At 36.5% G+C, this 22,902-nt stretch overlaps 2 long non-coding RNA genes across 3 annotated transcripts in view; both read left to right on the top strand.

Moving 5' to 3' along the window:
- The first annotated feature begins 5,642 nt into the window (after positions 1-5,642).
- On the top strand, positions 5,643-15,452 carry LOC105378825 (uncharacterized). Its single transcript, XR_007066205.1, has 3 exons — positions 5,643-5,680; positions 6,246-6,318; positions 14,725-15,452. It is a non-coding gene; the product is annotated as an uncharacterized LOC105378825 (long non-coding RNA).
- A 702-nt stretch (positions 15,453-16,154) lies between these two features.
- LINC02795 (long intergenic non-protein coding RNA 2795) overlaps positions 16,155-22,902 on the top strand; it is a 30,895-nt gene continuing 24,147 nt past the window's right edge. The window contains exons 1-4 of one of the 2 annotated variants that reach the window (NR_187379.1): positions 16,155-17,100; positions 17,361-17,424; positions 20,009-20,152; positions 22,056-22,192. This is a non-coding gene — a long non-coding RNA (long intergenic non-protein coding RNA 2795). The remainder of the gene's footprint in view (positions 17,101-17,360; positions 17,425-20,008; positions 20,153-22,055; positions 22,193-22,902) is intronic. The other variant, NR_187380.1, reaches the window with a different exon arrangement.

The raw sequence follows: 22,902 nt of genomic DNA, 5'->3' as shown, positions 1-22,902 counted from the left end.
GTAATGATTTTTGAGGCAATTGGAAGAGAGAGTATAAAGACAATTTATGTAAGTATTTCTAATTATCAGTATAAATTCTATAAATTCTGTAGTTTTCTTCAAACCACTTACACACATTTCTTGGTAAAATTAATTCAAAGTATTTTGGATTTTCATGTAGATATTAAGAATTATTAACCTCTAGTAATTAATAGTATATATGAATGTAAAAGTTTTATCTTGTATTTAGTCACATTACTAATCAATTTTTTCAGTTTTCCAATTGATTCTTTGGCCTTTTCTGAATAAGCAGCCTAAGGTTGTAATTAGCAATGTTGTTAATATTGTATCACTGTTAAGTATCAATAATGTTTACAATGTCTTTACAAATGACTTGTTCATATTGGGATCAAAATGAAATCCACATATTTCATTTGGTGGATATGTTTCTTGTAATCTATAGCAGCCTCCTCCTGTATTGTCATGACATTTATTTATGGATAAATTTGATCATTTGCCCTGTAAGAGTTCCCACAATTTGTATTTGGCTCATGACATTTTAAGATGTTTCTCCATCTCCTCTATTTCCTGTAAACCAGTAGTTACGTCCAAGATCTTGAATGAATTCAGGTCTAAAATTTTTTTGGCAAGTATTCTTCATAGGTGATACCGTATGCTTTCAATTGTATCATGCTAAGAGTATGGTAATGTCTGATTGTTACCCTTTTATTAATGTGAAAATGGGTCAGTGATTTCACGTGATGTCAGACTGATTCATTCTTTAAAAAATTAGATCAACCTTTTTTTTTATTATACTTTAAGTTCTAGGGTACAAGCGCACAACGTGCAGGTTTGTTACATATGTATACATGTGCCATGTTGGTGTGCTGCACCCATTAACTCGTCATTTACATTAGGTATATCTCCTAATGCTATCCCTCCCCCACTCCCCTCACCCCACAACAGGCCCCAGTGTGTGATGTTCCCCTTCCTGTGTCCAAGTGTTCTCATTGTTCAATTCCCACCTATGAGTGAGAACATGCTGTGTTTGGTTTTTTGTCCTTGTGAGAGTTTGCTGAGAATGGTGGTTTCCAGCTTCATCCATGTCCCTACCTACAAAGGACATGATCTCATCCTTTTTTATGGCTGCATAGTATTCCATGATGTATATGTGCCACATTTTCTTATTCCAGTCTATCATTGATGGACATTTGGGTTGGTTCCAAGTCTTTGCTATTGTGAATAGTGCTGCAATAAACATATGTGTGCATGTGTCTTTATAGCAACATGATTTATAATCCTTTGGGTATATACCCAGTAATGGGATTGCTGGGTCAAATGGTATTTCTAGTTCTAGATCCTTAAGGAATCGCCACACTGTCTTCCACAGTGGTTGAACTAGTTTACAGTCCTACCAATAGTGTAAAAGTGTTCCTATTTCTCCACATCCTCTCCAGCACCTGTTGTTTCCTGACTTTAATGATCGCCATTCTAACTGGTATGAGATGGTATCTCATTATGGTTTTGATTTGCATTTCTCTGATGGCCAGTGATGATGAGCATTTTTTCATGTGTCTTTTGGCTGCATAAATGTCTTCTTTTGAGAAGTGTCTGTTCATATCCTTTGCCCACTTGTTGATGGGGTTGTTTGTTTTTTTCTTGTAAATTTGTTTGAGTTCTTTGTAGATTCTGGATGTTAGCCCTTTGTCAGATGAGTAGATTGCAAAATTTTTTTCCCATTCTGTAGGTTTCCTGTTCACTCTGATGGTAGTTTCTTTTGCTGTGCAGCAGCTCTTTAGTTTAATTAGATCCCATTTGTCAGTTTTGGCTTTTGTTGCCATTGCTTTTGGTGTTTTAGACATGAAGTCCTTGCCCATGCCTATGTCCTGAATGGTACTGCCTAGCTTTTCTTCTAGCATTTTTATGGTTTTAGGTCTAACATTTAAGTCTTTAATCCATCTTGAATTTATTTTTGTATAAGGTGTAAGGAAGGGATCTATTTTCAGCTTTCTACATGTGGCTAGCCAGTTTTCCCAGCACCATTTATTAGATAGGGAATCCTTTCCCCATTTCTTGTTTTTGTCAGGTTTGTCAAAGACCAGATGGTTGTAGAAGTGTGGTGTTATTTCTGAGGGCTCTGTTCTGTTCCATTGATCTATATCTCTGTTTTGGTACCAGTACCATGCTGTTTTGGTTACTGTAGCCTTGCAGTATAGTTTGAAGTCAGGTAGCCTGATGCCTCCAGCTTTGTTCTTTTGGTTTAGGATTGTCGTGGCAATGCAGGCTCTTCTTTGATTCCATATGAACTTTAAAGTAGTTTTTTCAATTCTGTGAAGAAAGTCATTGGTAGCTTGATGGGGATGGCATTGAATCTGCAAATTACCTTGGGCAGTATGGCCATTTTCATGATATTGATTCTTCCTATCCATGAGCATAGAATGTTCTTCCATTTGTTTGTGTCTTCTTTTATTTCATTGAGCAGTGGTTTGTAGTTCTCCTTGAAGAGGTCCTTCACATCCCTTGTAAGTTGGATTCCTGGGTATTTTATTCTCTTTGAAGCAATTGTGAATGGGAGTTCACTGATGATTTGGCTCTCTGTTTGTCTATTATTGGTGTATAGGAAAGCTTGTGATTTTTGTACATTGATTTTGTATCCTGAGACTTTGCTGAAGTTGCTTATCAGCTTAAGGAGATTTTGGGCTGAGACGATGGGGTTTTCTAAATATACTATCATATCATCTGCAAACAGGGACAATTTGACTTCCTCTTTTCCTAATTGAATACCCTTTATTTCTTTCTCCTGCCTGATTGCCCTGGCCAGAACTTCCAACACTATGTTGAATAAGAGTGGTGAGAGAGGGCATCCCTGTCTTGTGCAAGTTTTCAAAGGCAATACTTCCAGTTTTTGCCCATTCAGTATGATATTGGCTGTGGGTTTGTCATAGATAGCTCTTATTATTTTGAGATACGTCCCATCAATACCGAATTTATTGAGAGTTTTTAGCATGAAGGGCTGTTGAATTTTGTCAGAGGCCTTTTCTGCATCTATTGAGATAATCATGTGGTTTTTGTTTTTGGTTCTGTTTATATGCTGGATTACATTTATTGATTTGCGTGTGTTGAACCAGCCTTACATCCTAGAGATGAAGCCCACTGGATCATGGTGGATAAGCATTTTGATGTGTTGCTGGATTTGGTTTGCCAGTATTTTATTGAGGATTTTCTCATTGATGTTCATGAGGGATATTGGTCTAAAATTCTCTTTTTTTGTTGTGTCTCTGCCAGGCTTTGGTATCAGGATGATGCTGGCCTCATAAAATGAGTTAGGGAGGATTCCCTCTTTCTCTATTGATTGGAATAGTTTCAGAAGGAATGGTACCAGCTCCTCCTTGTACCTCTGGTAGAATTTGACTGTGAATTCATCTGGTCCTGGACTTTTTTTGGTTGGTAGGCTATTAATTATTGCCTCAATTTCAGAGCCTGTTGTTGGTCTATTCAGGGATTCAACTTCTTCCTGGTTTAGTCTTGGGAGGGTGTATGTGTCCAGGAATTTATCCATTTCTTCTAGATTTTCTAGTTTATTTGTGTAGAGGTGTTCATAGTATTCTCTGATGGTAGTTTGTATTTCTGTGGGACTGGTGGTGATATCCCCTTTATCATTTTTTATTGCATCTATTTGATTCTTCTCTCTTTTCTTCTTTATTAGTCTTGCTAGCGGTTTATCAATTTTGTTGATCTTTTCAAAATCTAGCTCCTGGTTTCATTGATTTTTTGAAGGGTTTTTTGTGTCTCCATTTCCTTCAGTTCTGCTCTGATCTTAGTTATTTCTTGCCTTCTGCTAGCTTTTGAATGTGTTTGCTCTTGCTTCTCTAGTTCTTTTAATTGTGATGTTAGGGTGTCGATTTTAGATCTTTCCTGCTTTCTCTTGTGGGCATTTAGTGCTATAAATTTCCCTCTACACACTGCTTTAAATGTGTCCCAGAGATTCTGGTATGTTGTGTCTTTGTTCTCATTGGTTTCAAAGAACATCTTTATTTCTGCCTTCATTTCATTATATACCCAGTAGTCATTCAGGAGCAGGTTGTTCAGTTTTCATGTAGTTGAGTGGTTTTGAGTGAGTTTCTTAATCCTGAGTTCTATTTTGATTGCACTGTGGTCTGAGAGACAGTTTGTTATAATTTCTGTTCTTTTACATTTGCTGAGGAGTGCTTTACTCCCAACTATGTGGTCAGTTTTTGAATAAGTGCGATGTGGTGCTGAGAAGAATGTATATTCTGTTGATTTGGGGTGGAGAGTTCTGTAGATGTCTGTTAGTTCCGCTCGGTGTAGAGCTGAGTTCAATTCCTGCATATCCTTGTTAACTTTCTGTCTTGTTGACAGCGGAGTGTTAAAGTCTCCCATTATTATTGTGTGGGAGTCTAAGTCTCTTTTTAGGTCTCTAAGGACTTGCTTTATGAATTTGGGTACTCCTGTATTGGGTGCATAGATATTTATGATAGTTTGCTCTTCTTGTTGAATTGATCCCTTTACCATTATGTAATGGCCTTCTTTGTCTCTTTTGATCTTTGTTGGTTTAAAGTCTGTTTTATCAGAGACTAGGATTGCAACCCCTGCCTTTTGTTTTGTTTTGTTTTTCATTTGCTTGGTAGATCTTCCTCCATCCCTTTGTTTTGAGCCTATGTGTGTCTCTGTACATGAGATGGGTCTCCTGAATACAGCACACTGATGGGTCTTGAGTCTTTATCCAATTTGCCAGTCTTTGTCTTTTAATGGGAGCATTTAGCCCATTTACATTTAAGGTTAATATTGTTATGTGTGAATTTGTTCCTGTCATTATGATGTTAGCTGGTTATTTTGCTCGTTAGTTGATGCAGTTTCTTCCTAGCATCAGTGGTCTTTACAATTTGGCATGTTTTTGCAGTGGCTGGTATCAGTTGTTCCTTTCCATGTTTAGTGCTTCCTTCAGGAGCTCTTGTAGGGCAGGCCTGATGGTGACAAAATCTCTCAGCATTTGCTTGTCTATAAAGGATTTTATTTCTCCTTTACTTATGGAGCTTAGTTTGACTGGATATGAAATTCTGGGTTGAAAATTCTTTTCTTTAAGAATATTGAATATTGGCCCCCACTCTCTTCTGGCTTGTAGAGTTTCTGCCGAGAGATCCGCTGTTAGTCTGATGGGCTTCCCTTTGTGGTTAACCCGACCTTTCTCTCTGGCTGCCCTTAACATTTTTTCCTTCATTTCCACCTTGGTGAATCTGACAATTATGTGTCTTGCAGTTGCTCTTCTCGAGGAGTATGTCTGTGGTGTTGTCTGTATTTCCTGAATTTGAATGTTGGCCTGCCTCGCTAGGTTGGGGAGGTTCTCCTGGATAATATCCTGCAGAGTGTTTTCCACCTTGTTTCCATTCTCCCCATCACTTTCAGGTACACCAGTCAGACGTAGATTTGGTCTTTTCACATAGTCCCATAGTTCTTGGAGGCTTTGCTCCTTTCTTTTTACTCTTTTTTCTCTAAACGTCTCTTCTCATTTCTTAGACAAATGGCTAACTACAATAACCAGTGTAGAGAAGTCCTTAAATGACCTGACGGAGCTGAAAACCATGGTATGAGAACTACATGACAAATGCACAAGCTTCAGTAGCCGATTCATTCAACTGGAAGAAAGGATATCAGTGACTGAAGATCAAATGAATGAAATGAAGTGAGAAGTTTTGAGAAAATAGATCAACTTTTTAACCTAATGATTTTAAGCAGCCATTGATAATCATTGCCAAGATCCATTATTTTATTAAGGAATCAAATTAGTGATTTTTCTAATTTTGTCATTGTTCTGCATTTATTCACTGTGATTTTTCTGTAAAGAACTTTCCTTCATCAACTGTGCTTATCCTCACATACAGGTTATAAGGGAAAAGATGAATATTTGATTCAATTTGCAGAATAATGAGTGAGTTCGTAGCAACCTCCAGAAGCTACAAAATGTTTTGTTTTAATTTTAGTGTATTCTTGCAGAACATGGAATATACAAATATATCTATGTTTTTTCATCTACTTTAATTCACTGTAGTAATTTATTTTATTTTTTAATAATGAAAGTCTTCATAAATTTGACATATGACTTTTGGCTACTTCACTTAAGAGTGAGTGTGTATGTTGCAGATTCATGTGTGTGGTTTGCATTTTTTTGAGGTTTTGGTTTGTTCTTATTTTTCTTATTTCACATTTATGTTTTTAAAGTTATTCCTTCTTTATTTTTTTAATCACAGCAATCCTCCCCTCATCCATGGTTTCATTTTCTATGGTTCCAGTTACTCATGGTCAACCATGGTCAGAAAACAGGTGAGTACAATACAATATGATATTTTTAGAGAGACAACATTCATGTAACTTTTATTACAGTATATTGATATAATTATTTTGTTTTATTATTGTTGTTGTTAGTCACTTACTATCCCTAATTTGTAAATTAAACTTTATCATAGTTATGTATGTATTGGAAAAGCATAATATATGATATGGTTTGGATCTGTGTCCCCACCCAAATCTTATGTCAAATTGTAATTCCCAGTGCTGGAGTTAGAGCTTGGTGGGAGGTGATTTGATCATGGGGCTGTTTCTCACGAATAGTTTAACACTGTCCCTCTAGGTGCTAGTTCTGTGATAGCAGGCGAGTTCTCGTGAGATCTCATCATTGAAAAGTGTGTGGCACCTCCCCCAACCTTGGTCCTGCTCCTGTAACATGTAAGACACCTGCTCCTGCTTTGCCTTCTGCCAGGAGTAAAAGCTCCCCTAGGCCTCCTACAAGGCAGATGCTGCCATGCTTCTTGCACAACCTGTGGAACCATAAGCCAATTAAACCTCTTTTCTTCACCCAGTCTCAGGTATTTCTTTATAGCAATGTGAGAACAGACTAATACAGTATATATAAAGTTTGGTACTGTCCTCAGTTTTGGGCATCCACTGGGGGTCTTAAAATGTATCCCTTGAGGATAAGGGTAAACTATTGTGTAGTAAAAATATGGTCTTCATAATTTCTGCTGTTGGGAATTTATTAAGTATCTTTCTCTACTCCATTATTAATTTTCTATATCTTCTTTATTGTGTCTATTTTACCTATTATAGATTAATACTGTAAATTCTCCTACAGAGAGTGTGTTTCTGCCCATTTTTCCTTATATATCTAGTATTTTTATTCTATATACTTTTGCAACCTCTAAATATTTTTTTCTTCATATTTGTATGATAAATTGTGCCAATTTCATTGTTTCTATTGTTCTTTGTTATTTTGTTTCAGTACTTTCTCCTGGAGATAAAGAACTTGATACTTTCCCATCTTTTCTTCCCAGTCTGAGATTAAAAATTCTCTATTATTTTTATAAAAATAAATATTAATATATACTTTCAAATAGTTAAAAGGATATTGAATGTTGCCAACACAAACAAATGATCAATGTTTGAGATGATCAATATGCTAATTACCCTGATCTGATCACTATATATTATATGTATGGAAATATCACTATATAACCTACGAATGTGCTAAATTATTATTAAAAATGATAATAATAAAAATTAAGGTTGTAACCATGTATAAAATAATCATTTAAATTTATAATTATATTGTTAGCTGATGTCATGTTCTTTTTGGTATCAACACTCAATTGTTATTTTTGTTTTACCTTTAATTTTTCTAGGATATGCTTTAAACATTTTATTCAGTAATTATCTGTATTTGGAATATATTTAGGGTTCTCATATTCATGATTTCCTTCTTGCCTTCATTTACATGTGGAAACCTGAGCAGAAACTTTAGTGGGAAGAAAATCTTGGAGTTACAACTGTTTCCTTCAAAGCTCTGTAGATGTTACTTCCTGTCTTCTGACACCCACGGAAGAAATGTTTGAGGCCTTCAAATTCTTTTTCTTTTGTGGGTGGCGTTAAGCGTTTATGCTGTGTTTCCCTGGATCCTTTTTTATCCCAGAGGTCCCTTTAAACATTATCGTCACTGGATCAATGTCATTAAATCATCTGACTTAAGATCCAGATATTTTACTGTCTGTCTATTCTCTCCTTGTCAAAGTAGAATTTTTGAAAGAGAAAATGTGCCTGACACCATCTTTTCTAGAATTCTGTCCAAACAGGGACATATGTGGTCAAATTTTCATTTATGTAGATAACTCTGGTGACCATGAAATATCACTATGTTGTTGGGAAGGATGAGAATGGGTGAAGAGGGAGAAGGAACACTGGAGGCTGGGAGACCCAATAGGTGACTGTGTCATAGTCTAGTAAACAACAAGGAGGGTAGCAATAGTAGGAATAGCGAAAAGGGGATAAAGTCATGAAATTTGATAACATGAAATCCACATGACTTGGTGACTCATTGGCTTTTGTTGGGAGGGATGCACAGATTGCTGATCAGGTACCAGTTAGTGCCATCAACTAAAATACACGAGGAAAAAGTGGGGTCGAGGGAGACCAATTTTGTTTCAGATTCCTTTTATTTTTTTTAATTAGGAAAAAGAAAATTATTATTTTGCTTATATTTTTGTCTGATTTTAACTTATGGGTTTGTCTAATTATTTTCCAGTGTATTTGTGTGTGTTTATTGGGGAACGAATGTGATGTTTGATTTAACAAGTCACAGAATTTTTCTGTGTTCTTTGTTACTGCATTGTTGCTCATGTGTTAATTTTATTTCCAGTGTCTATATTATTTACATAATGATGTAAATATTTATCATATTTTAAAATCATATTTAGGACAGACTCAGAACACTGTCAACCTTTGCAGTTCTAAACAAGTGCCTACACTAGTTTCTCATAATCATAATAGCTTTGAAATTAGATGAGGCTCTAAGTTAATCATACAAAAAAATTCCAAACAAACCCTAAATCATTTAAGGGATTGTAGAAAGTATTAGCCAAATTTGAAATTTATGTTATTTATTATAAATTTCTTTCATTGACAAATTAAAACATCCCCTGTAAATCGTAAGAAGGGATGCACATTTATACCAGGAACTTGACTGTTAAAAAAGCACGTTAATGTTACTTCAGAATTATTGTGAAAGAGCTAAAGAAGGCAGTATTTCCTTCCAAATACTCAAGAGTCATTGGTATTTAATGAAGAGGGATTTGTGGTTTCCTGATTTATTAGGATAGATTTTTTTCTAAAAAATCTACAGCAAAAAATAATATGTAATCTAAAAGTTTTCCAATTTGGGCTTAATAAAATCTTAGGATTGGATCTTACTGTTTTGAAACTTATTTATTCATATCACATATAAGGCTACTTTTCAAGTTTCAATAAAGGCAATTATTTTTCATGCTTTATATTTTTGTTTCTTTAGGGATTTTGATCTTATAAAGTTTTCAACTTCAGTTTATCATTAATAATTTAATTACAAAAGTAGTAATTTTTAAATTAAAAATAAATTCAAAGAATACCAAAGAATATGATGTGAAAATATTACTTCAGCTGCTTCTCATCCCAGATCCCATTGTCCAAATTAAGCACTATTCATTGTTGCTTAATCATATTGCTTAACCTTTAAAGAAGGCCTAATTCTTTAACTTTAAATAATTTAGCCCGGGGGAGAAACAGTATCTAGTTCTCTTACAAGTAACAAGAACTAAGTATCAATACCTTTAAATTTTGATAACTCACTAACCTAGAGATACTGAATAGTATTGAAAATGTTTGAACCTTTTAATTTTAGCAGCACTAAGATTGTCTTATCGTTGCTAAAATGGCCAAGTAAACTTTTTTTTCATTGTTTTGAATAAGAACATAAGCTACACTTTTAAAAACATGCTTTTCTATATTTCTAATAGATATAGCAAGTTTCACTATTCATGTCAAATCAATATATAATTTCAATATGTAATTTTAGTGATCCTAGTTCTATTTAAAAATGAAAAATATAGTTTATCAATGGTATTTTAAATGTTATTCATCTTAATATGATCCTTTGAAGGCTACACATTCCAATATCCAAGCTTTAAAGTAGTTTGTATACACCCAACATGCAAACCATGACTTTAATCATTTCCTCACCAGAACTTCAATTATGCCAAGCACTTTTTAATTATCCTGTGGCCCACAAGTCTATTCTTAGTAAAAGTCTGATTTTATGGAGGCAGTCTTCTCCTCTGTGGCAAAAATCAACTCACCACTTAGCAACTCCACCCATGAAAAAGCCCTGTGAATTAAAAGCTACTAAATTAAGTGTGTATTTTTAACAGCTTCAATTTTGAAGTCTGTTTTGGCATAAAAGTTGAAGACTTTTTTTTGAAGTACAAAAATGCTATGTTGGCATTTCCTGGTATTTTCAGAATGCAATTTGTTTTTTGGGTTGTCCCTTTTACAAAGTTAGTTTCTTATAACATCAATTTTTTTTTTCTAAGGGGAATATATGTAATCAACTTGCCCTATCACTTTGTCTTTTTTATCTTATTTTAAAAAAGCAAATTCTGAACCAAGAAGAACAATGAAATAAAAAGAATTTCTGTGTGAGGCAGGGCTGTAGGATAGGAGGAGAAGGTTTGGGGGCACAGGGGGAAGCAGAGGAATCACAGAGCTGAAGTGTAAATGGGCTCAGTGTTTCCTGCACAGATCAAAACCTGGAACAGAAATCTAGAAATTAAGAAAAAGTAAGGCACGTAGAATTATTATGCTTTTTACTATTTTCATTTCATAGTAATGGAAAATCTGTTTTTCCCAATTAATACAAACACAATACAAAGTCATTTTAGGAAATGCTTGTATAAGGCTAATGCTTATAAGATATATTAAACACTAGTATATAATACATTCATTCAAGAAATAATAAGGACCTGCTATGTACAGGGCCCTGTACTTCTCTTGTGTTACAGTATAGCTCCAATAAATGATTGTATTATGATCCACCCTCCCAAAAATGTGGTGTTCAAAAGCTGAACTTAGGAAACGTGACACATACTGTGCCCTCAGTCAACACCTGTTTTCCTTGTTTTTCCCTGCTGTCATCTATTATAGAGGTTGGAATATCTAAAAGTTCCCCAGTTTGCCTTACAAATAAAAGTTGCTTGACAAGGTTCTGGCCAATGAGATGTAAAGAGAAAGTCACTGATACCACACAGTCTCTTTCTAGTATGCTCTGGAAGTGCTGCTTCATTCACCCCAGGTGGTGGAGCTGAGAAGCCAGAAGACTCTTTGAAGGTGCTCTTGACCTACTGTACTAACTGTGGACCTCCTACTCGGGACTTCTTATGGCATAAAATATACACTCCTCTTCCTTGTTTAAATGACCATTTGCTGGGTTTCTGTTACTCTTGGCTGCATGAGTTACTGACTCAGGAAAAAAATTTGGCAATAAGCATGACAGTGGTCTTCATATTCCAAATTGTGATGAACAGTGTCTAAGACGGCCCACAATGATCCCCACCTCCTTCTCCGCCTTGTGTAGTTCCTCTTCCACTCTCTACCAGGGTCAGTTTCTGTGACCAATAGGAAGTGGCAGAAGTGAGGGTTGTTGCTTCTGAAGTTATAAAAGGTTACATATGCTGGGGTGCTCTCTCTCTGATTCTTTGCTCTGGGGAAGTCAGCTACCATGTTATGTGAGCAGCTCTATGGAAAGGTCCACATCGTACAAAACTGGAGCCTCCTGCCAACAGGAGCTTGGAAGCTGACTCTGTGGTCCCTTCAGATGATGGCCATCTCACAAGAGACCCTGAGACAAAGCCACCTAGTGGTGCCCCTTTCAGATTCCTAACCCTCAATAGTAAATGTTTGTTGTTTTAAGCCACTAAATTTTAGGGTGATTTATTACTTAGCAATAGAGAACTAAGAAACAAATGGATTGATTATAGTATCTAAATGATGTGCTTTAAAAATACTCAATTTAAAAATATTTTATAGTTCTTTAATAACACATTTTGGTATAGGAAATGGATATATCCTATATATATATTGGTAACATTTTTCATATTGAAATATATGTCCTCATATGTTTGCTATTAAAACTTTTTTGGCCTTCTTAATGTTTAGGTGCTATTTACTGACTAATTGAATATGTGATCTAGATAGTGTTCTTTATATGAGTCAGAAAATATCCCAGCTTTCATGGAATTGCTACTCTGGTGTGGGAGGCAAATAATCGAACAAGTAAACAAATAAGACAGTTTTATATAGGGCTGATCATTGGGAAGGAGATAAAACCATTAAATGATAGACTCAGGATGAAGATGGCTGGATTTTGGAGAGAGTGACTTATGCTAGGAGGGAACATTGTTACTGAAATCTGAATGCTTAGAAGAGGCCAGAAATGTAAAGGTTATTCCAAGCAGAGCATGCAGAGAGTGCAGAGGCTAGGAGGTGGGAATTCTTAGCTTGCTTAAGCAATTGAAGTAAGGCCATTATGGCTGAACCACAATGAATGAAGGAGAATAGGAGGAGGGCCTGGTTCCTTGAAGGTGGCTTCTTATTGCTAGAAACAAAGTAGGAGGGCCAAGCTTTGTAGGACACAGTAAGAAGTTCAATGAAAGCCACTGGAGAGTTCTAAGCAGGGCAACATCATGATTTGTGTATTGACAACAATCTGTGAGGCTGCTGGGTGCAGGATAGATAATAGGGCAAGAGGATGGAGAACAACTAGGAGGCAGTTGTGCTTAGCATATATAGAAACTGTATGAGTGAGTGTGTGATAAGTGAATGAATGAATATGTCAGAGTCAATCAAGAATGACTATAGTTTGGGTCAGTGTGATGGCAGTGGAGGTGCAATCATGTGGACAGATTTGCACTATATTTTGGAAGTAGAAACAGTAGAAGAACTTGATAATGCTTTGGAAATTTGCATCTGGAAAGGCAGTGAGGGAAAAAGCAGACTCAAGAAAAAATAACTCCCACCATTCTGATTTAAGCAATTGGGTAGATGAACATGCATTTATAAGTTGAGCAAGGACTGCGTGGGAGTATATTTGGGAGACAAAAGCTTTTGTTGGTTTTGAAATATCTGATATTTTCATGTGAAGATTGTAATCAGAGAACTCAACTGGGTATTTGACTACGTTGCTTATAAGAGGGGTCAGGGCTAGAGAAATACATTGAGGAGCTGTCATCAATTTCTCAGAGATTCATAGTGCAGGCTAATTTATACAGGCTTTCAAAATCAAGCTTCATTGGCTGTGAAATCTCGTCATGCTAAAGGGAGCCAACAGACTGAGATAAAAATATATAGATGCTATTTAGATCATGCCACTGGATGAGGTATAGCTCTAGAAGAAGACAGAGCTAGTGGAGCTTAAGGGCGCTACAGCATCACAACAATGCTTTAACTTTGATACCATCAAAATTGACGTCACTTTAGAAAATGTTCTGAATAGTTTCCAGGTCTTTGTAGAGCTCTCTTTTTTTCAAGGAAATTGACAGAATTTTGTATCTTGGCTTAGCACTCTCTCCAGCATTAGTCATGTGGCTTTCTGTGTCTTCTTAGAAATAATAGTTCTCATTTCTGGGATTGTAGATGGTTTTCTTGAATTTATTTTTAAAATGTGTGGTATTTTCATAGAAAAGTAATGCAGTAATGTACCACTGGTACGGCACATTGATTAGACATGCTTTTACTTCTTAATACACCCAGTGTACAAAAAGGGATCACAAGAGAAAAACAAAAGAATTCTGCTACTCAAGATCTTACAACACTGTGTGATACGTATCTGTTAGCAATAATAGGAAGCTACTTCACACTTCTGCAGTGATCTGAAAACTGTCAGATGCCTTTGAACTTGCCATGTCTGCATGCAGCTCCTGCACTTATTTGAGTTACATGAGGTTGCATGTTCTTATTGAGAGTTAAGAGTTCTCATTTGAAAGTGGTCCAGTCTTGCAAAACTCTAACGATGAAAGTATCTCACTTACTGGAAGGCAATGTAGATGTCTGGGTCACCAATTGAGAATAAGTGACTTCGTGGATGTTAAGCACCAATAAGAGGCAGTTTCAGATGGCTGGCCAGCTACCTCACACAGGAATCTAAGACAGGAAGGCTGCAGTCATGTGCAATTTAATGGCAAGTCTAGTAAGGATGATAATTTCAAAGTAGTGATGAAAGTAAATGATATTTGGAGATATCTCCAATAACAGTAATAAGAGATTAAAATATCCGTGGTTACTATTGGTGACAAGGTGACTTGTTCTGCTCCTACAATGGTGATTTGCTGTCTACATTCACAATGAAAGGAAAGGCTAAATGTCAGTTAGAAGTTTAATGAAAATAGGCTGGGCGTGGTGGCTCATGCCTGTAATCTCAGCACTTTGGGAGGCTGAGGCAGGCCGATCACTTGAGGTCAGGAGTTTGAGACCAGCCTTGTCAACATGGTGAAACCCCGTCTCTACTGAAAATACAAAAATTAGCCAGGCGTGGTGCCGGGTGCCTGTAATCCCACCTACTTGGCAGGCTGAGGCAGGAGAATCGCTTGAACCCGGGAGGCAGAGGTTGCAGTGAGCCAAGATTGAACCACTGCACTCCAGCCTTGGGAACAGAGTGAGACTCCGTCTCAAAAAAAAAAAAAAAAGAAATTTAGAAAAAATAAAGATGTGATTTACTTTTCCCATCCATGTTTATGCATGCATTTGCGGACCCCAGGTAAGAGCCCCTGGTTTAAGTGGAAATTAAAGTAATATGCCTGAGTTAACATGCTGTAGTTTGAGGGGATCACTATTCATCTTTTCACTATTTATCTTTTCTTCCCCACCTGATTTTAGGACAAACTGAGAGTAAAAGATGCAGGAATAAAACACAGAAATCAAAATAAAGGGTTTACTGCTGAAAAATCCGCTTGAACAAGCCTGTTAATGTGATCTTCCTGAATGAAGCCAGCTTACCCCTAGGCCTCCACTGTCCCTCAGGAAAGAGAACACGAAAACTGGAACTCTCTGCAGAAAGGAGGATCCCAAAGAAGGGGCCAAGCTGTACATTTATCAATCAGGAAAGCCACTCCACCCTCCATGGCAGCCCCTACAATTTGAAACAAGTATTCTTCCTAACATAACACATTAATTCATGAGTTTATCAGTTCATTTCATTTTTACTTTGAGATTTTTGTGAATAACCATAGAAAAATCTATTTCACCTGGCAATAAATAGGAAAAGGCACAGCATAATGTTTAAATACAGAGAATATTGTTACATGTAAGATGTTGATTGAATGTTCTAAATACAATTTGAAAACTGCGTGAGAGGAGGAAAACGTATATTCAGAAGGACTTAGGTGAATCCAGATGAATATTTTCATGACAGGATGTTGGCTATTGATATGAAGAAAGTAGAGGAATAGACTTGCTAAAAGTTAGAGGAGTCTAGTTTATCTTCCAAGAAGCTTTGCAACCCTGTAATACTGTAGAAATCACAAATTTGGCAATAATTTTAAGATAATTTATGTTCATTTTTTATGGAATGCCATGTTTATCTTTTTATATATGACATTTTCTGGTCAGTAGTAATATATATATCCTTTATTAAAATTGGAAAATAAATACAAACATTTTATTTATTTATTGGTTAAAAAATTATTATGCTCATTCTTTTTTTTTTTAACCAGTAAGGATCTGGATAAAGAAAAACATTTTAGAAAACCACTTGTAGAGTACCATGAACCAGTCTCTCTTCTCCATTTTAAAAAATTTATTGACTCACTTTTTTTCCATAACTTTTTGAGATATTATTTCAACCACTTTGCATTTAGAGAAAAAGAGTCAGAGAGTGATTAAGAAATCTGCCCAATGCTATACTGATAGAAGCTGGGAGAACTGGGATTTGAGCTTACATAGGCTAGTTCTAGCATTTGTGAAGTTCTCGCCTAATAAAAATTATCTGTAATCATAACCAGAGCAAGTCATTTCTAACCTCCTGTCTATAGACACGCGGATACATTTGTAATGTTTTTGTTTGTTTGTTTTTAGCACGACAGATCAATTCCTGCTGGCATTATAGTTCTTTAACTATCATAGCTTCTCTGATTTTTCAACACATCTGTCATCCGTATTCTGCAGGCATAGCCAACTCTGTCAGTGTCTCCTCAGGCAATCAGAATCAACAGACAGAATGTAGGACAGAAAACTGGCTGCAAACATGTTGGAAGGGCTGGAGGAGCGAAAGAGGGAAGATCTGTTACCTAGAGATAGTAACTTCCAGAAGTTACCACTATACTAGTGCAGGAGAAGCAGAAAGGAAGATGCTGCTACCCAGAGCCCACAGTCATTGTGCCCCTGATGCCGCTGGAACCCCACTGCAGCTGCTTTACAGGAAGCAGGGAATTAGCGCTCTTGCTGATGCTACAGGTATCCAGGATCCAAAAGTCATCAGCCGCTGTCCCTGTTGCAGCCTAGGGAAACTGTCCCACTGAGGTTGTTGGGGTACCTGCTACTGCATCTACTGTCTGAACCATGTTGCCTGAGCAGATGTCCAGGGCTCAGGCTTGCCTGCTGCTGTTACTGCTGCCACCATGTTTATCAGAGCTACTTCAAGAAGAGAAGAAATCCTCCTCATTTCCAGTTTTTTCCAGTGCCTCCCATTGCTTCCCAGAATGCCAAATTCTCTTTGAGAGACAGCTGAAAGGAAGGTTTGGAAAAGACTCTGGTGTAAGCAGATTCTGCTTCCCTGCAATAGGGGGAAAGCATAGGGTGGAACTGGAGCTGAGAGCTAATCACGAATGAGCAAATCAGTCTTCAAGACATTTACCTTTCCTTGAAACGTTTCCCTTCTTTTACCGTGTTTTCCATGTCATTATTTTTCCACAATTCTGCATCATATTCTGTTAACTATTAATGCCCTGGATAAGTTTATTTGCTCTTTCTTAGGGTTAATTTTTCTCCTTTTCTTCGAAGCTTTAGTTTGCAGGTTCAGCTTGTGTGGGAATTTTCATCTCCCTCCTCTTCAAGACTCCTTGGATATCAGTTTTTTGGTTGCCTTCACCAACTCTCCCCCCACCATCTCTAGACCAGGGCATGGTCTTAGTTGGTGGCTTGGACTCCTGTGGCTTGGAGTCTTTGGGGATATTAGAGATCCAGTCACTGAGCTGGCAAAGGGAACACTGTCCTTGCTTCCAGCTTTATGAAGAACGCTTTGCTCTGTCACCCCACGTGAGTCCAACTCTTGGCTGCCTACACTGCCTGAGGCTTCAGTTCTGGCATCGTGCTGCATGTGATCTATTATCCTGCTTTTGAATATGCCTATGACTTTTCTTTATATATTTTTAAAAATGTTATTATTGGTATGTTTACAGTGAAGGGAAGAATGTGAAGCATGAACTCAAGAGTCACAGTAATGATAAATTTTAATGATTGTAATTGTCCTATCTGTCATAATACATTTATTTTGTTGATTTGTTTGGATTTTCTAGGTAAATAATCATGTTATTCAAGGATAATGAATGCAGCCACCATGTAATCATCACTGACTCCATGGCAAGTACACTCTGCCTTGTGCTTTATATACTTGTCAGGACTCAGAAATGGGCAAAGAGGATCACTGGTGTCTTTCAGTGGAGTGCTGGGCATTATAGTGGAGTCCTGGATTATCTGATTCCAAGAATTCACACCTTGACTTTCTATTGACTAGGTTATTTTGCAGCTCTGCAGAGGTAGCTGTTAAATTGTTGAAAACTGCTGACAATGCAGCAAATTCTTATTCATACCAAAGCAAACAAATTTTGACTGGTTGATTATAAAGCTCTATAAGTCAAATTCTCATTTGAACAGATCTTACTATATTAGTGGTTCCCTCAGTAATTAAAGAGTTGAAATAAAATCTTTGACATATGTTTCTTTTATAACTGTAGAAGGGTCATAATTTTACTTTTTTGAAAATTATCCTTTAGCATACATAGTATCTTTTAGTCTTCACAACCTGAGAGGTAAGTATCACTCCCATTTAATAGATGAGAAAACCGAGACTCAGATCAAATGCTTGCCTGCTCAATGTCAGATTAACTACTAAGTGGTCAAGCTGGGATTTGAATGCCAAATTTTGCTCTCTTCAAGCTCTGCTTTCAAGATCTGTGGTCTTACATATTTTTGCTTCCTGGAGAAACCCCATTTACTCACAAATAAAATGATGAAAAAATATGAACTTTGATAAAACAATATTAATAATGACTAATATTTATTAAGTGTTTACTGTAAGCCAAACACCAAACTAAACTTATTTGGATTAATTCATGTAAGTAACAATGAGAGAAGTGAGTTTAAAGAGGTTCAATAACATGCTCAAGGCTTTACATGCTATTTCTAACTTTTTCTCTTCTTTCTCCAAATGCCTAGTTTTCCACATTAGCTGCACGCTAGAATCATCTAGAGAGAGCTCCTTAAAAATATTAGGGTATCAGCATATCTTAAAAGATTCCTAGGTGATTCTAATATGGAGAATCACCACATAATAGAGAGGACTTTTCCTGCTTCCCTAGCTGATACTTAAGAGAACTGGACAAATCTGCAATATTTGTTTTGGTTTTTCTGCTGTAGCTTGGAAAAGGAGTAATGGGGCTGAAATCTGTACTATCCTGAAGCTTGAGTGTCTAGATGTATGCAGGGCTTAGCTAAAAGCATTTGAAAAAGCATCTCAGCCAAAGGTCAAATCATAGCAGGAGCACAGCAATTTAGAGAAACCATCTGAGTGGTAAGAAAATGACTTTTACATGGACTCACTAAAAGATTTAGATATGCCTTAATAAGGCCAGACAATAACACATATTGTCAGTATTTGCTAAACAAATTCTCTTCTTGTAATTTGGAAATGATTTCAATCACATATTAATATTTTATATAAACATCCTTATCCCCTTGCCCACAGAAGCAGACACAGTAGCCTAGCTACTCAAAAGCCATTCACAATCTTTCATTCTTGTCTTTTCCTTCATCATAACTTGAAAACTAAAACATTTAGGTTTCCAACCATCTTTCCATTAGAAGTAACCTTGTGACCCAATTCTCGACCAGTAAGATGAAAACAGTTGTTATGAAACTTTGAAACGTCATTTTTAAAGAGATAAACTAAGAAGCCCCAGCCTTATATATAGATGAGCCTTGAGGTGGTAGAGCAGCTATTTTGTGACCGTGTAGAAAAAGCCACAAGCCAAGAATGGTGGAACAGAAAACTGAAAGGACGCTGGGTTCTTGATGATATCGTGGAGTCATGTACCAGTCCTCAACAACCTCATATCAGAAATTTTTTAACATAAAAAAGTTAGTCCCTTAATCATACAGTCTACTCTTGGTTGGTTTTTCTGTTGCTTGCAGCTGAAGGAAACCCTAACTGATACATTTGTCAAAACATGGAAATAAGAATGTATTTTTTGTTGTTATTTTATTTGAAAAACCACTGTTAAACAAAAGCTTTGAAAGCCAACTTCAGTCAATTTAATTAAGCCCAATAAGAAATCTACACAAGTCATGTCTTTTTTAAGTCAGTCATGTGTTGTCTTCTACCTTAGTTAGTTTCCATTCTGATTTCAAATTGAGTGACAAACTCTGGTAATATATACCCAGAATTTTTCTAAATTAACTCCTATTTTTTCCCCTTTTACAACAATACATTACAAAACCTAACACTTAATAGAAACCAACTTTCTTCTCTTAGATTTAATTGTAATGCAGAAATCTAGCAACAGGATCAATTGTGATATTTTGTAATGCAAAACTCCCAAGTAACTTTTAGGCCTTTAAGCATCTCATCATGAGAAACATGGATTAAATATATAATAACATTGTAAGAAAAATGTGTCCTGTTTTATTGGACCTTCTTGCTGCTTTCTTTTTTCACCTTTTCATATGGTTTCTTCATAATTGTTCTACCCAATTCTCAGCCAGTCTTGTTTGTTCATATTTCAGATTGGCAATGTGGTAAAAACATAGTGATTTGTGATCATTCAAGAGTAGTTTGATCAGTAAAATAGATTAAATCTAAAACATCTAGATTAAAATAGCAAGTTCTTAGATAATCAGAAGAATACTGTAATTGTTCTCTTATATAATTTTTATTTTAATTTTTTAGAGACAGCGTCTCTCACTGTCACCTAGGCTGGAGTGCAGTAGCATGATCATAGCTCACTGCAGCCTTGGACTTCTGGGCTCAAGCTGTTCTCCCCTCTCAGCCTCTCAAGTAGCTAGGTCTGTGAGCAAATGCTACCACGCCCAGGTAATTTTTTTTTTTAATTTTTGTAGAGACGTCTCTCTGTGTTTTCCAGGCTGGTCTTGAACTCCTGGCCTCAACCAGTCCTCCTACCTTAGCTTCCCGAAGTTCTGGGATTTACAGGCATGAGCCGCCATGCCTGGCCTGCCATATATAAACTTTAGGTATTTTAGTATAACGTACTTTGTTCTAAATTTTTTCTAACCATAATACAGTCTTTCTTTAATTCAGAGTACATGGTCTTTTCTGCCCAGTAGAGCTTACGTTTGTGTTAAGAAAATTTTCTTTTATGATTACCCATAGGTCAACAAATTTTAGCCTTTTATAGGAAGACTGAATTTACTTTTCAAAACTGAGTAAATTGTTAAGCTCATTTTGAGTGATGCAAGTAACCCATCCAATGCAATGTAGATTGTCCTTCTTATCTTTATTATTAATGAAGAGAAACACAACCATTTAGAGTTTCTCAAAGGAGATCGAATTTTCAATATTTAGGGTGTGGGCCAGTGTTTTGGAATGAACATGTTTTTTCTTCATGAGTTTCATTAAACATGTTTACTAATGTTTTACACCAGTGGAATTTCATATCTGTCAGAATTCATGATCTCATTCAGTTGTTATTAGAAAAACTTTAGACAAATTAAATTTAATGGAGTTTAACTGAGCAAAGAATGATTTGCACATCAGACAGCCCTCAGAACCAAAATAGGTTTGGAGCAATTCTGGTGCTGCAGCGTGGTCAGATCATTTTATGGACAGAAAAAGGAATGTGACATTCAAAAAATGGAAGCGAGGTACTGAAACAGTTGGATTGGTTACAGCTGGGTGTTTGCCTTATTTGAACCTGGTTCGAACAGTTTGCTACCTGTGATTGGCTACTTGTTACAAGAGTAGGTTACAGTCTGTTTACATATCAAGTTAGGTTATAGCTCACTATGCATGGAGAAACCTTTAGGCAAAAGTTAAAATACATAGGGAGGCAGCTTTAGGCCAAACTGAATTTAACAATGACCCCTCCAACCTCTTAATTATACCACAAACTTTAAGCATAATGTCACTTTCTGTCATTATTGTAAATGAACAGACTTATTTGGTCTCAGTATAGAATTCATAATTCTTATTTGGTCTCAGCTCCCATCTGTTTTGAGATCTGTTTGCTTCTTTAAGGCTTTGGTTTGATTATGTGGAACATAGCATAAGTGACTCCAAGCTGGGTTAGTGTAGTGTGTTAGGGCCTAGTGCATGAGTTCAGTTCAAAACAGTGGCCTCTCATAATTTTGTTTAACAAATGTTAGATGAGAGCATGACCAAAACTTAGAGCTTTGTTGCTATTCTTAGTTACCATCATTTTGGGGTTCTAGTCTCAACAAGTCAATCATAGGTTACAGTAGTGTCCTCATGATCACATGTCTTTGGGTTTTTGTTGTTCTAGCTGAAGAGGGACCATTTGGCATTCTACAGATGGCTGCATGTACACATTTAAAACTTTTGAGAGAATACGGCACATCAGGGAGACTACTATTATGGCTATCAAAAGGATAATACCAAGAGTTTGGAGTATGCTTCTTAGCCAGGTTTCCCATGAACAAAACCAATCAAAATCAAATAGATCAAAGAATGAACCAGATGAGGAATCTACCTATTTTAACTAAGCAGCTTGTTGGTTAATCCCCTGTGACTGAGTCTCTATAATACCTGATGTATTCATCTATGTGTAATAAGTGTCAAAAACTGCACAGATTCCTCTCTTTTCATAGTTAATCTAGAGCAATTTTATTATCTAATAAAACTTTAGAAAGAGAATTTAAAGAAGTCTGTTGTGCAACCATAGCCTTTGCAGTTGAACCTGCTGTAGAGCCTATAATGAGTGATACATTTGTAAGCACTGCCTCATTTATATTTATTTCAGGCCATGAGAAAAGAGACCTAAGAAATGATGCCCATCCAGAAGAGTGAAGACTTCCTGAAAATGTTCTTTTAACCTAAGATGTAGGTTAAGAGGAGTGAAAAAATGTTCTGTTTCTGACTGATGATGGAGCAACAAAGGTACTATTAAAATTTCTAGCCCATATTGGCCCTTCATCTTCTATCCATCAGGGCATAAGTTGCTCAGGTATAAAGTTGGCTGCAAAATCCTCCACAAATAAAAGCATACCCCATCGGTGCACCCAAGGCCCCTTTCCCAATTATATTGTTCATAGAGGCATAAGCAAGGAAAAGGTAAAAAATTAAGAGAGGTAAAAGTTTTCTGATGGCAGAGAATTCTTGATCCATGATCTTGGGAAAGTTGTCCATGTCTAGGATGCTGTCTGCTTCTGGGGAGAGACTTCTCTGATTAGCTGTACCTTAAGGTCTCCAACAGGTGTACAGTTCCAAGAGTCTGAAGGGGCCACTCTGAGTTGTGTGATTACAGGCCCAACGTTCAGTGTCCCAGCGTTTTGCTGCAGTGTTGGTGGCAAGGGCAGTCTTCCTCTAATATCATTCCCAGAAAACCCGGTCTCCAGGTTGTAGATTATGAAGGGTTTGATTGTCTTAAGTTGGTGGATCATGAACAGTTTCTTTTACTTGGTAAAAATACACTTTGGCATAAGGCATTAAAGCCTTGCAGCATTTAGTCATACCAGAGGTTAGGAGCAGAACATACATGAGTTTCTATTATTAGGGAAATAGGCCTTCCAGTAACTATTCCATAAGAGATCAACTTATGTTTCCCACTGGAAGTGGATTTGGTTGTAATCAATCTATAATATCTTTGA

Source organism: Homo sapiens, chromosome 1, assembly GCF_000001405.40.
Source record: "Homo sapiens chromosome 1, GRCh38.p14 Primary Assembly".
NCBI lineage: Eukaryota > Metazoa > Chordata > Mammalia > Primates > Hominidae > Homo > Homo sapiens.
Note: the sequence above shows the minus strand (reverse complement) of the source record. Positions and strands in the feature narration are given on the sequence as shown.